The 19,400-nt window shown below is 36.6% G+C and overlaps 1 protein-coding gene across 2 annotated transcripts in view; it reads left to right on the top strand.

The window, feature by feature from the left end:
* The window catches only part of RELN (reelin), a 517,870-nt gene that overhangs the window by 244,382 nt on the left and 254,088 nt on the right, over window positions 1-19,400 (top strand). For both annotated transcript variants that reach the window (NM_173054.3, NM_005045.4), the window contains exon 7: window positions 17,070-17,166. In NM_173054.3, the coding sequence (NP_774959.1) occupies window positions 17,070-17,166 (97 nt within the window). The remainder of the gene's footprint in view (window positions 1-17,069; window positions 17,167-19,400) is intronic.

Below are 19,400 nucleotides of genomic sequence, written 5' to 3'. Positions count from 1 at the left end.
TTATTATTTTGAGATACATCCCATCAATACCTGATTTATTGAGAGTTTTTAGCATGAAGGGCTATGGAATTTTGTCAAAGGCCTTTTCTGCATCTATTGAGATAATCATGGGGTTTTTGTCTTTGGTTCTGTTTATATGCTGGATTACATTTATTGATTTGCGTATATTGAACCAGCCTTGCATCCCAGGGATGAAGCCCACTTGATCATGGTGGATAAGCTTTTCGATGTGCTGCTGGATTCGGTTTCCCAGTATTTTACTGAGGATTTTTGCATCGATGTTCATCAAGGATATTGGTCTAAAATTATCTTTTTTGGTTGTGTCTCTGCCAGGCTTTGGAATCAGGATGATAGTGGCCTCATAAAATGAGTTAGGGAGGATTCCCTCTTTTTCTATTGATTGGAATAGTTTCAGAAGGAATGGTACCAGCTCCTCTTTGTACCTCTGGCAGAATTTGGCTGTGAATCCATCTGGTCCTGGACTTTTTTTGGTTGGTAAGCTATTGATTATTTCCTCAATTTCAGAGCCTGTTATTGGTCTATTCAGAGATTCAACTTCTTCCTGGTTTAGTCTTGGGAGGATGTATGTGTTGAGGAATTTATCCATTTCTTCTAGGTTTTCTAGTTTATTTGCATAGAGGTGTTTATAGTATTCTCTGATGGTAGTTTGTATTTCTGTGGGATCAGTGGTGATATCCCCTTTATCGTTTTTTATTGCATCTATTTGATTCTTCTCTCTTTTCTTCTTTATTAGTCTTGCTAGTGGTCTATCAGTTTTGTTGATCTTTTCAGAAAACCAGCTCCTGGATTCATTAATTTTTTGAAGGGTTTTTTTGTGTCTCCATTTCCTTCCGTTCTGCTCTGATTTTAGTTATTTCTTGCCTTCTGCTAGCTTTTGAATGTGTTTGCTCTTGCTTTTCTAGTTCTTTTAATTGTGATGTTAGGGTGTCAATTTTGGATCTTTCCTGCTTTCTCTTGTGGGCATTTAGTGCTATAAATTTCCATCTACACACTGCTTTGAATGTGTCCCAGAGATTCTGGTATGTTGTGTCTTTGTTCTCATTGGTTTCAAAGAACATCTTTATTTCTGCCTTCATTTCATTATTTACCCAGTAGTCATTCAGGAGCAGGTTGTTCAGTTTCCATGTAGTTGAGCGGTTTTGAGTGAGTTTCTTAATCCTGAGTTCTAGTTTGATTGCACTGTGGTCTGAGAGACAGTTTATTATAATTTCTGTTCTTTTACATTTGCTGAGGAGTGCTTTACTTCCAACTATGTGGTCAATTTTGGAATAGGTGTGGTGTGGTGCTGAAAAGAATGTATATTCTGTTGATTTGGGGTGGAGAGTTCTGTAGATGTCTATTAGGTCTGCTTGGTGCATAGCTGAATTCAATTCCTGGGTATCCTTGTTAACTTTCTGTCTTGTTGATCTGTCTAATGTTGACAGTGGGGTGTTAAAGTCTCCCATAATTATTGTGTGGGAGTCTAAGTCTCTTTGTAGGTCACTCAGGACTTGCTTTATGAATCTGGGTGCTCCTGTATTGGGTGCATATATATTTAGGATAGTTAGCTCTTCTTGTTGAATTGATCCCTTTACCATTATGTAACGTCCTTCTTTGTCTCTTTTGATCTTTGTTGGTTTAAAGTCTGTTTTTTCTGAGACTACGATTGCAACCCCTGCCTTTTTTGGTTTTCCATTTGCTTGGTAGATCTTCCTCCATCCCTTTATTTTGAGCCTATGTATGTCTCTGCACGTGAGATGGGTTTCCTGAATACAGCACACTGATGGGTCTTGAGTCTTTATCCAATTTGCCAGTCTGTGTCTTTTAATTGGAGCATTTAGCCCGTTTACATTTAAGGTTAATATTGTTATGTGTGAACTTGATTCTGTCATTATGATGTTAGCTGGTTATTTTGCTTGTTAGTTGGTGCAGTTTCTTCCTAGCCTTGATGTTCTTTACAATTTGGCATGTTTTTGCAGTGGCTGGTACCGGTTGTTCCTTTCCATGTTTAGTACCTCCTTCAGGAACTCTTTTAGGTCAGGCCTGGTAGTGACAAAATCTCTCAGCATTTGCTTGTCTGTAAAGTATTTTATTTCTCCTTCACTTATGAAGCTTAGTTTGGCTGGATATGAAATTCTGGGTTGAAAATTCTTTTCTTTAAGAATGTTGAATATTGGCCCCCACTCTCTTCTGGCTTGGAGAGTTTCTGCTGAGAGATCAGCTGTTAGTCTGATGGGCTTCCCTTTGTGGGTAACCCGACCTTTCTCTCTGGCTGCCCTTAACATTTTTTCCTTTATTTCAACTTTGGTGAATCTGACAATTATGTGTCTTGCAGTTGCTCTTCTCGAGGAGTATCTTTGTGGCATTCTCTGTATTTCCTGAATTTGAATGTTGGCCTGCCTTGCTAGATTGGGGAAGTTCTCCTGGATAATATCCTGCAGAGTGTTTTCCAGCTGGGTTCCATTCTCCCCGTCACTTCAGGTACACCAGTCAGACGTAGATTTGGTCTTTTCACATAGTCCCATATTTCTTAGAGGATTTGTTCGTTTCTTTTTATTCTTTCTCTAAACTTCTCTTCTCGCTTCATTTCATTCATTTCATCTTCCATCACTGATACCCTTTCTTCCAGTTGATCGCATTGGCTACTGAGGCTTCTGCATTCGTCATGTAGCTCTCGTGCCTTGGTTTTCAGCTCCATCAGCTCCTTTAAGGACTTCTCTGCATTGGTTATTCTAGTTATCCATTCGTCTGATTTTTTTTCAAAGCTTTTAACTTCTTTGCCATTGGTTTGAATTTCCTCCTGTAGCTTGGAGTAGTTTGATCGTCTGAAGCCTTCTTCTGTCAACTTGTCAAAGTCATTCTCCATCCAGTTTTGTTCCGTTACTGGTGAGGAGCTGCGTTCCTTTGGAGGAGGAGAGGCGCTCTGATTTTTAGAGTTTCCGGTTTTTCTGCTCTGTTTTTTTCCCATCTTTGTGGTTTTAGCTACCTTTGGTCTTTGATGATGGTGACGTACAGATGGGTTTTTGGTGTGGATGTCCTTTCTGTTTGTTAGTTTTCCTTCTAACAGACAGGACCCTTAGCTGCAGGTCTGTTGGAGTTTGCTAGACGTCCACTCCAGACCCTGTTTGCCTGGGTATCAGCAGCGGTGGCTGCAGAACAGCAAATATTGGTGAACCTCAAATGTTGCTGCCTGATCGTTCCTGTGGAAGTTTTGTCTCAGAGGAGTACCTGGCCGTGTGCGGTGTCAGTCCGCCCCTACTGGGGGGTGCCTCCCAGTTAGGCTCCTCGGTGGTGAGGGACCCACTTGAGGAGTCAGTCTGCCCGTTCTCAGATCTCAAGCTGCGTGCGGGGAGAACCACTACTCTCTTCAAAGCTCACTTGGAAATGCAGAAATCACCCATCTTCTGCGTCGCTCACGCTGGGAGCTGTAGACCGGAGCTGTTCCTATTCGGCCATCTTGGCTCTTCTCCCCCTCAAATATCTTCTTGCAGCATTGTATTACAGTTGCAGTGTGAAGAGGTCTAGTGTATTCTAGGTGCTCAATACCCATCACTTTCGTCTCTGCCTTCCTCTCTTTCCCTCCCTCCCTGTCTTTTCCCTTCCCTTCTTCCCTTTCTCTTGCTTTCATCTCTTCCTCTCCCGTTCCCTCTCCTCCCTCTTCTCTTTTCTCTCCCACTTTTACTTCCCCTCACCCTCCTTTTCTTCCTTCTTCCCTCCCATCCTCCTTTTTTTCTCTTGTGATATATTTGTACATTAGACTATCCCTTCTAAGCCCAGACATGATTAAAACATTATTATTATTAAAATAATCTTAAGCTAATTTATTTAACTGAGTCCCCAAGTCTTCCTTCATTGCATTTTCATAAAAAACAAATGCCAAATTAAATATATTTATATTATAAAATCTATGGAATATATATTGATGAAAATAGCATTACAGCAACATCATAAAGGAGGGAAAAATAAGGTGTTAGATGTCTCGAACCCCTTAGAAGTCAATGTAAACTTCCTAAAGTCAGAAACAAGCATCTAGTGAAATCAGATATCCCCATGAAATATTTCCAATAAACTAACAAAGCCCCAGTTTGTTTTGGAAACTGATAAGCAGTTTTAACTCTCCCAAAGCTTCTATTTTCTTGCTACATGTTTTGTCACTTGAGTTTTGTCCCTTATAATATTGTCTTTGATTCTCTTTACCCCAGAAAAGAGTCAGAAACCCAGTGGAGCTTTGTAACAGTATGGAAAAGGGAATCCTTGTGGCAAACATGGTCCCTATGCCACTGCCACACACCACCAGATAGAAGCAAAGTGCCTGGGTATGCTGCATTTAGCCAAATTCCCATAACTGAATACACCACCAAATAATTTACCTCAAAAGAAAAAATGTGCTACTTATAAGAGCATATTTTCCCCCTGGGATTCTAAAAGCTTTATGTGAATTATTTACTCTGTACTTCTTATTGTTAAGCAAAAGAGAAATTAAGAAACTAGTTATGTCTGTACAATCTTAGAGAGGTAGGTCAATTTAAAAGTTAAAACACTCACAATGTATTTACTTCCATTAACTTCACCTAATGAATTCAACTTTTAATTCTATCTCACATAATTCTTTAATATTCAAGTTTATCTCATTTACTAATGACTGTACATGTACATAAAAAATGAGGAACATAAAATGATATTATAAATAAAGGTAACAGATAAGTTACTCTTCCAAGTTTTTTATGACAGTTGGAATAGAAATAAGAAATGTTTTTTATGTCAACTCAATATTGAATGTACTATCTGTTCAGTTTGAATATTTCAAATTATTTAAAAATTTAAAAATTTATGTGGTTAAAATTTCAAATAATCCAAAAATATAAGCAGTAAAAGTAAGCCTCCTTCCCACATTAGACCTTTATTCTTTCTCCAGGGTCAACAACTTGGGTAATAGTTTCTGTGAGTCCTTCTGGAAATTGTTCATGCTTACACAAGTGTAGCAGTTATGAATTCTGTCCAGAAACTTGAGTATCAGAGAAATAAAACTTTCTTTATTCTTCCATAACCCAACCTAATTTCTTTATATTCTCCTCCTCCTACCATGTTGGTGGAAACTTAATTTCAGTCAACTCTGGCTTGTCTCTTCTATTTTTTTTTGTTTGTTTTTGAGCTAAGTGTCAGGTGTCTTATTAGTGCAAAGGTAGAAGGTAGAATGAGGATGCACCTCTGGTCCCCAGCCATCTATCTGTTCCTGCAGATATCCACTGAATCTTCCATTATCTCATCTAGTCTGGTGACTAGTCCACACAGCCCGGCTTTGTCCCTGTCCTCACCACTGTTTCTGAGCAGTGGTTCTGTTTTGAGCCCAGCCTGAGGGCATGGAGACTGTTCTGCTGTTCCCAGTCCTGGGCCATGGGCATCTTTTCTGTGCTGTACTCTGGTGTGCAATTGTGCAACTCTGGTCCTTCTGCCTCCTTCATATGCAGAGCATAGATTCCTTCTACTCTTTGCCTCCTAGATCTCTCTGGGGCTTTGCTAGGGAAGTGGCCCTTCATATCCCCACTCCCCCAGCGGCTGCTGATTGACTTGTTTGAATGAGAGATGAGAAGTGAAGTTTGAAGTGAAGAGAGTAACAAAATCCCTTCATGTGAATATAATGGTAGCTCAACCTTGATGAGAATGAAGCTTCTGCACTTTACCCTGGACCACAAGCACTATACCTCTGGAGCTCAACATGAATTGCATCAATTCCAATGTGCCATTGAACCCAAGAGGGTGAGGGAGAGCACAAATGAATGAATACCACTTTACCAGTGCTGTTAGCAAGTGTGTTCAATGTGGCTGCACTACTGATGACAGAGGGCATCAATAGTGTCTTAGTCATACAGCAACAACCCTCCAAAACCTCCCCCAACAAAATGGGAAGGAAAACCTCGTATAACTAAATTCAGAAGAATGTAAGGGACCACAAATACGTCGTATTTTATTAACACTTTACTTATGCAGCTACTATTGAACATCAACTACATATCCATAGTTTCTTTTTATGAATTAAATTATTGCACTATAATATAAACAGTGCCAGTATTTTATGTGAATGGGGAAATTCTTGATTTTTTTGAAAAATAATTATACCTAACAGCCAAAAACTAGAATCATCCCAGGTGTTCATCAACAGGAGGATGGATACACCACAGTGATATGTGCACACAATTGAATACTATTAACATTCGGCAATAAAGAGGAATGAATTATTGTCAGTCGCAACAACATGGATGAATCTCAAAAATTTTAAGTTGAATGAAAAGATGCCAGGCCAGGCACAATGGCTCACGCCTGTAATCTGAACACTTTAGGAGGCCAAGGCAGATGGATCACAAGGTCAAGATATCAAGACCATCCTGGCCAACGTGGTGAAACCCTGTCTCTATGAAAAATACAAAAATTAGCTGGGCATGATGGCATGCAGCTGTAGTCCCAGCTACTCGGGAGGCTGAGGGAGGAGAATCACTTGAACCCAGGAGGCGGAGGTTGCAGTGAGCCGAGATAATGCCACTGCACTCCAGCCTGGTGACAGAGTGAGCCTCTGTCTCAAAAAAAAAAAAAAAAAAAAAAAAAAAAAGGAAGGAAGGAAGGAAAGATGCCAGACCCAAGAGTTCATTCCAGTTGTATGAAATCCAGATTAGGCAAAGTTAACATGATAGAAATAAGATCAGTAGTTGTTTCGGGGACAGAGAGTTGACTGGTAAAGGGCATGAGGCACCTCTCTGGGGTGATGATTATGTTGTATATCATGAGAGGATGTGGGTTACATAGATGGATGCATTTTCAGAACCTGAGATCTGCGTATCTCATTGTGTGTAAATTTCCCTCAGTAAAAATTTCAATAAGAAGAAAGGCAATGAAAAAAATAAGACATAGGAGATATTTCTGGTTCATAACTTGAGACAGAGAGAGACTGCAAAGGAACTAAAACATGAATGGATTTTAGTTTTCTCAAGAAGAGTTTTACCCTTTAAGCAATTACAAAGTCAGAGAGGATCTTTGTTTTACTTAAGTTATCCCTTTAATGCTTATTTTCCGAAGATCACAGAAGGCATCCAGAGCTCTAATATCACCAGGCTCTGATGTTCTAGTGGGAAATGTAGAACTATTAAAAAACACAATGATAACTGGCAACTAGATGACAACAGATGTTTCCCCTCCAGCACAATGATAGAACAATAATAATAGCAGAGATGTCCTACTCAGCAGAGATCAGGGAAGAACAGGAGTTACTCCTCAGAAATAGCATCTTAGATGACTGGGTTGTGATGCCAACAGAGATGTGAAACATCAAGAAAGCCACAAATAAAGTTGTTTCAGGTCCTGTGGTACAAGAAGACCTCCATCAGTTGGATAATGATACAGAAAGGTCCACAATTTACAACAAAGGAAGCTAAAGCCATGATTGGCATTGCATTGGATTGCTAGAATCAAGAAAAGACTAGAACATTTCCATTTTCATATGTAAATGACAATATTACAGGACCGGGGAAATAGCGATCACAGACTCTGCTGCATCTGGTATTCTCCTGAAAATACTAATTTGTTGGAGCAATTAATATGAAATAAGGAAAAAGATTGGTGATTTGGCTTACTAAAATTCCTTTGAGAAACATAATTGTCTGAACAAATAGTATAGAAATACTGAGATTTCAAGATGATGGGTGAGTTATTCTAGCTGGAACTTTATTTAATAATAGCTTAGCCCACAAACGAAAAGAAGTCAAACAAGCAGTAAAACCACTTTATAGTTCATTAGTATCTTGGACAACCCCCATGCCATAAATAATAAAAAACAGAAGACTCCTCCATTTAGTAGCCAAGTGTGAGAACTACAATATAAGTGGATTTTCTAGGTAATCAGAAAGAAGTAAGACTGATGAACAAACAACTGAGAAATAAATTGGATAATAAAAGTATCTCCACTTTGCTCAGTGTCCAACACGCCCATGGGCAGTGAGCCGGAAAGGCAGTGCTGGTGAAAGGGAGCATAAACCTTTCATTTTCTCAACAGCAAGTGGCTACAGGAGATGGTGAATAGATGAAAAAAATCAGACACAATAAATATTTTCTCTGATGACATACCCTTGCCAGAACCTCTCGTATATCTGTGCATTTTCAGGTTATGGAATTATCATTTAATATTTGGAGTTTAATGGTTCACTATTTTGATCATATATGAATCTTTCTCTACTTTTTCTCTAACCTCCTCCCTCTTGATTTCTTCACCACTTTCTGCTCTCTCTTACTTTTTCTTCTCTTTTGTTAATAACTTTTTTCTCTTATTACAAAACTCTTCTCTGAGTTTCCTCTCTAGCTTCCTCCCCCTCATTCCCCTCTTTTTCTATCATGATGTAATTGCTCCAGGGAAAAGCTTCATCTACAATAGAAAGGTTAACCAGGGGGTGTCCAACTAATAAAATAAGGTGTGAATCTAGAGGTTTATTACTTCCTTGTTTAATTTCTGCTTTAGGTGGCAAAAACAAGAGCTCACTCAAAGGAATTAAATGTCAAGTACATTTGAAACAAGTAAGAAAATATTTCTTCAAGCAGCATGTAGTGGAATTTACCATAGTAGGAGGTCAGAATATTGTGTGCAGTAGTAAGATTTTAGAGGTGTTATTTTTAACCCAAATAACGTTTGTCATTCGTACCTGTTAATGAAGACGAGATCGAATTTTTTAACTCCCTAGAGAAATAAGAAGAGTTATCTTACCTTCCTCAGTGAAAAGTAATGAGAAAGAATGAGCTATAAATGGAGTTTGTCATTTTCGCATTTACAGTATGTGTTAGCTCCTTAGAAAAAAAGACATGACATAGTTGAAGGTAATATTCTCAGTCTTATACAATGAACTTTCCTTGCTGTTTCTCTAAAAAGATTCCACATTTACAAAGAGGATAGGATTTAAAAAAAATTAAGCTTGATCTTTCATTTCTTGAAAATGATCATGTAAATTGCTTACAGGTGTAATGGTCATGCCCTCTTTATTATAAAACAGCTATATTGTAAAATATGGTCAGAAGTTGAGTATTTGGTTGTTGAGGTTTGAATGGAAGGTACAAAGAGTTCTAGTGTCTCGGAATAAGTCAGCTGACAGCCCAGCTACCAAATGGCCGGCAAGGTCTGATTTACTTTGATGAATTCATCATTCCTTGATTTGGCCTTGCTTTGCAAGTTCACACCTCAGATTCTTCTTAGCACAGGCAGTGTGATCCGTACCTGGGGGTGCAGACACATTATCTTTGGGTCAGGAAATTACAAGAAACTTTTCTTTTCCTTTTTCGGTTTTAAAGAACTTTAAGTAATCAGAACAAAAGTTAAAATTATCTGACTATCTCCATTCAGAAATACTGGTGAATGTGGCTCAGAAATGCAAGCTTATAGAATGCCAGATTGCTTCTGGTGGAGCTGATCGTCAGACACTGACTCCTTCAGTGGCAATACATTATGGAGAGATAATATGATGTCCTTGGTCTTGGGGACAAATTACATGTATCTCAAATGATAATTTGATGATAACTGACTGTCAGTGAGTTTCTAGGTGATTAACTTGCTTCAGCAGAGTACCTGACTACAGGCTGAGTGATTTCACTGTGATCTAAAAAGAATGAGTCATGCCATTAGACTGCTCTTGAGAAAACAATATTTCAGTTATTTATTGTTATCAAGATGATGTCACCACCAACCATTCATAAATCTCTGGTTGTGCAAAGGAGCTCAATTTTCTCATTCATCCTCCTCCTCTTTCCTGCATCCTGAGAGCCCGTCTGAGTCACTGCTATGTGGGGACCCCAGACTACAGGGACATTTCACTTCATCTTCCTCTGTGCCCAATGAATGGGTGGTTGAGCATATTTTCATGCCTAATAATTTAAAAATCAGGATTAAAAAACCCAGTTATATCTTCAGAAGTATACTCTCTACTGTTCAAAGGTACCATCATATGTAATACTTTGTCCCATGAAAAAAAACAGCCACCTGAATAATAAATAAATAAAAAATAGAGAACTAATAACAAAATAACAAGCTTGCAATCTACCAAGGAGCTTGTTACAGTGGAAGACAAAACACTGGTTCAAAGCCTTTCTTTTTCTTTTATGTTTATGGTTTGATCCTAGTTTTTTTGGTCAGCAAGTACCAGTCTTTATATTTACTGATTCTTTTATGTTTTTGTTAGTGAAAAAAAAGAGATGGTGTACATATAAAATAGATTGTGATGAATTATCTAAGAATATATATAGCCAAAGGGGTACTGAATATGATTGTCGTGTACTTCAGCCCAGTGAATTCACTGTTAATGTTTTTTATGAAGTCCACTCATCGCTCTACTTTTTGTACATTTTTATCAGAAAAACAAAAAAATTACCCTATAATTGAAAAAACAGTTTTTAAGAAAAGTTATTGTAAATTTTCAAAATAAATGTTCACCGTCAAAATGATAAACATTCCTTGAAATGCACATTGTTTTTATAGAATTGGAATTTTTCCCTCACTAGCTGCATTAGGCAGAACGCAAACAATATTGGATAAGAAATCAGGCAACCTGAATTCTAGTCCTGTTTCATCATCATGAGGGAGTGATGAGATGCAGTGATATTTCAAGTCCCCTCTCACTTGATGATCTGTAAACTCAAGTAATAGATAAGCTTCATGTGGAACCTAAGCATGTGATAAATTGGTTCAGAGAAGGTTTAATAAGTTCAAGCTTTCAATGGTTTTTGAGGATTGCTAGCATTTCCCTTAAAATGTCTTTTAATCATATTGTTCATGGCAAAATATATTTTTGAGGTGGACAATCCATATGATACGCCAAGGTATTTGTCAGATTCTTATGTTCTGTTTTTCATATTGGGAAATATAAAAGGGGAAAAGCATTCTTAGATTACAGAAACATTTAGTATTACTTTTACTATTAGGCAGAGAAGCAATTCATTTCTGATCCTTAGGTTGAGAGGTCACATTCCTTTTCAAATTGAACAACAGAAGTCTGTTTAACTGGGATTATTGAAAACTTCCTTCTTCCCACAAATCTCTGAAGAATATGTTACCTAACTTTACAAAGCCCAACATTTTCCTGAGAACATGAGAAAGTGGAAAACATTTAATTGTGAGGTTACAGATTTATACGTCGGCAATAAACAACAGTAGTTTTTGTTTTTGTTTTTGTTTTGCACTGAGCCTAAAGAAAATTGAACCACTCATTATCCCGCAAATGAAATCCTAGTTCTTAGGAACTCATAGAACTTTTCCATAAAGGAAGAGTAGAATTTCAGATTACTTGTGGTCTTTATAGAGAACATTTTTTTTTATTATACTTTAAGTTTTAGGGTACATGTGCACATTGTGCAGGTTAGTTACATACGTATACATGTGCCATGCTGGTGCGCTGCACCCACTAACTCGTCATCTAGCATTAGGTATATCTCCCAATGCTATCCCTCCCCACTCCCCCCACCCCACAACAGTCCCCAGAGTGTGATGTTCCCCTTCCTGTGTCCATGTGATCTCATTGTTCAATTCCCACCTATGAGTGAGAATATGTGGTGTTTGGTTTTTTGTTCTTGAGATAGTTTACTGAGAATGATGATTTCAAATTTCATCCATGTCCCTACAAAGGACATGAACTCATCATTTTTTATGGCTGCATAGTATTCCATGGTGTATATGTGCCACATTTTCTTAATCCAGTCTGTCATTGTTGGACATTTGTGTTGGTTCCAAGTCTTTGCTATTGTGAATAATGCCACAATAAACATACATGTGCATGTGTCTTTATAGCAGCATGATTTATAGTCCTTTGGGTATATACCCAGTAATGGGATGGCTGGGTCAAATGGTATTTCTTGTTCTAGATCCCTGAGGAATCGCCACACTGACTTCCACAATGGTTGAACTAGTTTACAGTCCCACCTACAGTGTAAAAGTGTTCCTATTTCTCCACATCCTCTCCAGCACCTGTTGTTTCCTGACTTTTTAATGATTGCCATTCTAACTGGTGTGAGATGGTATCTCATTGTGGTTTTGATTTGCATTTCTCTGATGGCCAGTGATGATGAGCATTCTTTCATGTGTTTTTTAGCTGCATAAATGTCTTCTTTTAAGAAGTGTCTGTTCATGTCCTTCGCCCACTTTTTGATGGGGTTGTTTGTTTTTTTCTTGTAAATTTGTTTGAGTTCATTGTAGAGTCTTAAACGTTAGACCTAAAACCATAAAAACCCTAGAAGAAAACCTAGGCATTACCATTCAGGACATAGGCATGGGCAAGGACTTCATGTCTAAAACACCAAAAGCAATGGCAACAAAAGACAAAATTGACAAATGGGATCTAATTAAACTAAAGAGCTTCTGCACAGCAAAAGAAACTACCATCAGAGTGAACAGGCAACCTACAAATGGGAGAAAATTTTCGCAACCTACTTATAGAGAACATTTTTGGGGGTTAAATACCTCACTGCACTCAACCAAGTTAAATTGTTAGACACAGAGGCATTCTGAGAAAGTGAGGAGGGTAGGACTGAAAGAGCACTTATGCATTTAAGTATTGTTTCAAATTCTGGGGTAAGCCAGGAATTACTTTCCTTGGAATTTGAATGTTTATTTATATCCATAAGTTTTTAAAATTCATCTCGTCTTTCACATGGATCACTATTCTCTTCTTGGAAGCCATGACCACCAGTTGCCTTCTGTACGGTCTTGCCTTGTCTCCATTAGGATCATTGTGTTCATCATGAAATTATGATTTATCTTTCCCTTTATCATAATGGCATTCATATGTGTAGTTGTACAATACTTTATTGATAGAAAAAAATATTAGGAAGATCACCTTAATGGGCAGCACAGATTAAGAACATGCATAGAAATGAACCCCACCACCAATAATTATGGGGAAGTAAATGGAGATACACTTGGATTGATACACACTGAAGGATTATGATGATGGTTTGAGCTTTCCAGAAACTAGCCCATGGGCAATCTGATTGTTCCCCAGGGATTCATTCTTGGACCTTTTCTCTTCTTACTTTGTATATCCTCCCTTATCCCGAGGACCCTAAAGATATACACTCCCATGATTTCAACTATATCCTAAACTGTCATATCAGTCCCAATCTCCTTTCTCTGAAAGTTCAGCTGATCATCTCCAATTTTCAGTGTAACTAAAAAGCAGGCAGTTTCCAAGCCCTCTAATTCTCTAGAGTTGTATTGTCCAACATGGTAGGCACTAGTCACATACGGCTGTGGAACACTTGAAATGTGGCTAGTCTGAATTGAGATGTGCTGTAAGCATAGAATACACCCCATAATTTGAAGACAGTATTTAAAAATGTAAACATTGTAATTAATAATTTTTATATTACTTACATGTGAAAATATAATTGAATATATTGAGTTAAATAAAACATCTTGTTAAAATTAATGTTTCTTTTTAATGCAACCATTAGAAGTGGAAAATGAAAAAAGTGGCTTACATTAGGTTTTTATAGAGCAGTGGAAGGTGTCCACTTTGCTCCATCCCACCTTATTTCAAGGCACCATTATATCTTACTTGAGTTACATTAATAGCCCCCAGGCTTTTCTACCTCCAGCCCATAATTTGCTATAGTAATTTTTCTAAAAGTTGGATTTGCCACATGACTTTGGAAACAAAATAATTAGAGTTTGACTCCCAATTCTGCAATTGACTAGCTGTGTAACCTTGGACAGTAATTTAATATTTCTAAATCTCAGTTCTAGCATCGTCTAAGTGGAGATAAAAAAAAATAGAAGGAGAGGATTTGGTATCAATTAATTGGGGCATTGTTTGTAGAGCTTCTGTCAGCACCTATCACATGGTAAACAGCACATGAAGCCTTTGTGAGGTGGTTGCCACTTTCTAGACACATCCTTTGCTGCCTTTCTGCATGGACCAATGTGGTTCCATCATACTGACCCACTGAACTAACAGTTCAGCTGTGTGTCATAATTTCTGCATTGTATGTGCCCTATCACACACTCATCTTTCTTCCTTGCTTGAGTAACTCCTGTTTCTCATTCAGGACCAGTTCCGGGACCATCTCCTTTGAAGGCTTTCTCTTACTTCCCCAGTCTCTGCATTAGGTACCATCGCAACCAGTGTATGCTCCTGTTATGAGTGAAGAGCAATGATAGAATGCAGTAAATAGCTATCATTGCATCATTGCATTGACACCCTCTATTGTAACTGTTTGTTTACTTCTCTGCCTTTCCATTTGAAACGTAAGCTCCTAGAAGAAAAGACAAGTGTTTCATTGGTCCTTGTATCAGTAAAGCTTAGTGCAGTGCCTGTGAGCCCTCAACCTAAATTTGTTAAATACAAGAATGGATTAATAAATGATGGATGAATAAATAACACCATTGGCATCTAAGAGAGGGTTGGATTTGACCTCCTAGAGGGATGGGCATTCAGGGTAAATTAAAATAAATTATGTTGACAAACCCAGTCAGACTGTGAGAAATTCAAGTAAAGGACATTTAAAAGACCTTGGCAGAAATCGGACTGATTTGTCCCATCAGTCCTTGGTGAAGCCATTGTTTCTGGAGGTAGCAACCACACAGTGGGTAATATCTGATAATTATAAATCTTTTAGTTTCTTCAGCAGGGTTACCAATGCCTTTTTACATTTGTTATAAATTTCTGGGGTTATAAAGCACAATGAAGAAGAGAAGCGTCTAGTGGATTGTTGAGTTCAATGGGAAGAATAGCTTTATCTGTTTTCTTTTGTCTTGTGTTTATTGTTTTTTTTTTTAAATCCCTGCTATTCTGCCACATAGAAGTGATTCTCCAAAGACATCAAACATCTGTCATCTAGGTACTGGTTCTCTAATTCCAGGCTGTAGGCCATCACTTTTATACAGTTATCCAGTTTCTACCTGAATTCTGTTTAAGCGAAACTATGGAAGGAGGGGGCTTGTAATACATATATTATATATAGATATTTTCTTGATAAATAGTTGATTTGGAAACTGCTGAGCAATATTTATGGACAAAATGATTGCTGTAGAAGTTCAAACAGCAGGCCTCAAATTTCACATCAACAGTGACACTTTTAGTTTAGAGTCACTGGAGACAAATGGCAGATAGCCATTGTGAGGTTTGAACATTCTTTTACTTTTTTTCTCTGTCAAAGTTGATGTTTCTCTTAAGCCATTTCACAATGACTTGGAGGCCAAATAACCTTCATCTCTCACTAAAGTAAGGAGCCTACTATAAATTTTGTGCTACTTCACTGTACTTTTATCACAATCCCAATCAGTTTAAAGAATTAGAAAAGTAGTAAGAAGTCATTTGCATAATACAGTCTCTATGGAAAAAAAAAACCCTAATATAAAATTCTGGAGTAGAGGAAAATGGTGGAAATCCATGAGAAATTCTTAGCAATAATAACAGCTAACACTTATATCATGCCTACTATGTGCCAGGCACTATTCTAAGTTCTTTAGACCTCAGACCTTTAAAATGGTTATATTTATGAAGTTGTCTTATATGCATTTATTCATTCAACAAATATTTCAGGAATACAATGTGCTCAAAAGGAACATGCCATAAATGATGAACAAGAGACAGGTTTATTGTCCTTACGAAGCTACTGCTGTTGTCTCTTCTAATGTCTTGCTTCACAGTAACCAAGGGAAGATTTGAATCTCCTAAGAATTGTGATGCTATGAGATACTAACATTTCAAATTCTGTATCAAATTTATTTATGTTTTTTCTAAAATATGTGAAAAATACTTGGCACTGTTGATCTTCTGTGTGGAAACACGGCTCAAAAGATGAAAATAATATCATTTAATCAATGTGGTAAACATATAGGAAGTACTTTCATTTCTTTGCCAATTTTTGACGTGCAGTGTTTCTGCCTCCTGGCTTTATGCGCTCCTTTCACACTTTTGTCTTCTTCCTATTTGGATGGGTGTTCTACTCCTTTTCTTTAAAATTAACAAACGGCTGAAAGGGTATAATACAATAATCTCCTAAACAAAGGGCATAGTGCCCTTTCTGCAATGTTTGGCACCTGGAATGTGAAAGTCTTTGAAAATGTTCTTTCTGCATGAAATATAGCTCTCATGTGGTTTGAGGTTCAGACAGGGGAAACATTGCTCTTTATTTCTACATGTTAGGAATGTAATGATTGTAGGTTGAAATGTCACAATGCAGAAAATTGTAAATGTTACCGTAAATATACAAGGTCAAGTCCAGAATACACATACCTTCAATCTCTGCTAGATAGAGATATGAATAAATTTATTTTTGAGATCCTGTCCTAAGATTTTAATAACCACTTCGTTTTATAGTATAAAGATAGGAGCTAATTCCGTTATTCGTGAGGTTAGCATAATAGCTCAGTATCCAAAATGTGCTTGAATTAGAATTTGTGTGTATATCATACTAATACATGGATTAAATACAATCTGATTTCATTGTTTTTAGCATGGTGGAACGTATACATGCAGATTTGTTTGAGGACAGTCATTTTAAACATTTACATTAACCATAACTCCAAAGAAAAATGTTTAAAATGTATAAAACACCTTTTAATTTCAGAGATACAAGTTTTTATGTAAGTGGCTATTACTCTGCTTATTTTTAATACTTGCAAACGTCCTTGTATTGGGCATGTATATATTATATAATTATTGACTATAATATCATCTTTCATTAAATGCCTGCTATGACATTGGTTCTGTATTCTGTGTTTTGTATATAATCTCTCATTTCATCCTCACAATAACTATGTGAGATTTAGATCAGTATGGTTAGCCTCGTTTTACAGGTGAGGAAACTGAAACTTTGGAAGGTTAAGTAACTTACCCACCACTGTAAGTAACTGAAAGAATTGAGATTTATGTTCAAGTCTTTCTGGTTTCAGGTCTTCTTAACCTTATCATGATGCAAAATACTCCTACTTTCCTCAAAATGGTGATTTGAGCTGAGTAACAATAAATATTATATCGTTTCTTACCTGAGCAGTAAACCACGTGTGCTACTTAGTTCTCAGACGGGGACTGTGTTCTGTTTTCCTGCAGGGTTGAATGTAACAACTGTGAGACTGGAGAACAGTGTGGCGCGATTATGCATGGCAATGCCGTCACCTTCTGTGAACCATATGGCCCACGAGAACTGGTAAGTATGTGCTATTCATGTACATTATTCCATTATAGTATTTACTGAGCTTTTTGCCAACAAAAGTTTTTCTTATGCTCTTAAAGTTCAGATGAAAATTCAAATATGATTTATGAGTCCTATTACAAATATCTTAAAATTGGGAGGGGTGATTCTATGGCCTATTTTTGGATGTAAAAATAAATAATTCAGTAATAAAATTGTCAGCATCAATGGATATCATTAAACATGGAACATCACTATGATTAGATGGCTTTTTAAAAATATGAGTATTTGCTATAATATCCATAATAAACAATTTATGACCTTCTAAGTTCTTCTATAAAGCCATGCTCTTAAAATTGTCCTTATTTTCTCCTTGCAAGTCAAAACTGTTAGATGTTCAGTTTTATCACTTTATTTTAAAACTTTGGTTCATAGCCATAGAAGAACCTGATGGATTTTTCTTTACATGAAAGAGCACGCTGAATAAACCAGTTTTTTAAAAATTTTGATTCATCTCAAATTACTTAGAAGCAGATTATTTTCCTTTACTTCAGATTGATTAGCAGCTTTTGCTTGCCAAATCATATATAAAATGAAACATGAGCATTCAAAATGGAAAGAAGTAAAACTACTAGCCATCAGCATGTGGCTAATGAGCCTTTTTTTGGTTGTTGTTAATTTGGTAACTATTTCTGGCATGAAGACTACTTTCATTTTACCTTCTGGAAAATAATATAAAAGCAATTGTTATATCCTGTCTCAATTCCTTTGTCCCTAATACTCTTCTTGTACCATCTCTTATGCTTTACTTTTCTGCTTTTCAGCTTGGGCTTTAATGCTTGTTCTTTTATTTCCCACATCTTCCCTTTCAGAGGGCTTCTAGTAATAGGTTGTATTTTTCACCCTTCTGTCACAATTGTGTTTCAAAATCATTAACTTTAAAAGTTGTCAAAAGACTGACTTCCAATGTAAATTGTGGGGCAGGGGGTGCCTAGATGGGCAATTAAAAGAAGATTTAGTTATCAAAATGTGAAAGCCAATTAATTGTTGTAAGATGGTTCTTATTTTATGATGCTTGAATACCCCTTTCATGCCAATAGATACATTTAATTTATTAAAGATACAAGCTTCAGAGCATTGATAAATTGAGGAGTTTTTAGTTGAAATTACAACACAAACAGAATTAATTGGATGCAAATTAAAATAGTAGGTGCTCATAATTCAAGCCTCAAAAGTGCTATAATATTCCTGCAGACAAGTATGACTCTGGTGGTGAAGATTTTCTTGAAAAAATAGATTTGCTAGTACATTTTAAATAATATACCATGACAGAATTAATTATCTATAAACCTTAACACAAATTTAATTTTTTTACTGTAGTTAATTGAGCTTAGACTAAATGCCTGTTTTAGAAGGTGTCTCATTTAGTAATATTCCTGGAAATTCTTGACAAGTTATTTTTGTTGCCACTGGTTAATAGGAAATAAAAATATCTAAGAATATAATGCCAAAATTCACATTTTCATAGCATAATACTGAAGTATTAGTTAATCCTATGTATGTTTAGTCCTGATTGTTTCACTATATCCCCGTTTATTTAGCATTAGAGTTGATATATTCAGTGGGCTAATTTTGAATTGTGTTTTATAATTAATGTGGGATTAGCCTTTCAACCAAAAAGGAAAATACTCAAAATAATTATGTTCATTTGGGAAATAAGAAAGTATGTAGTTTTTATATTTCCATTATAAGTATTTTCCTAAGATGAATTTGTATGGTGAGATTCAAAGGGAATAAAATGAAACAGATTGAGAATGATGGCGATGATGTCCACATTTTATACTAACTTCTAATTTTTCATAATTTTTATACTGTATTGGTGTTCCTGAAGCAAAAATATACATTGTACCCAAGTTGTGTTTATAGAAGACAGATCAATCAAATGAAAAGTGAGGAATTCGGTTTTCAGTTAACATTATATTCAATATTTACTAAAATCCAAACATTTGCATGGTACTTTGTGACTGAATGCCGTCAAAATTGTTGTGCATGAGAACTAATGAAAGTTATCAGCCCCCAAACATCACTTTTTAAACAATATGCCTTCTTATTTTTCATAAAGCCCATTCTTACTGAAGTTGTAAGAAAAAGAACCACGAGCAAAGAACCTTATTAGGCTAAGGATTTATCTTTTAAAATGCTAAAAGGAGGATCTCCATTTTTGTGAATGTAGTTAAATAGCCATTTCA

This window comes from Homo sapiens, chromosome 7 (assembly GCF_000001405.40).
Source record: "Homo sapiens chromosome 7, GRCh38.p14 Primary Assembly".
In the NCBI taxonomy this organism is placed as follows: Eukaryota; Metazoa; Chordata; class Mammalia; order Primates; family Hominidae; genus Homo; species Homo sapiens.
The sequence above is the reverse complement of the archived record's forward strand: the minus strand, read 5'-3'. Positions and strand labels throughout refer to the sequence as shown.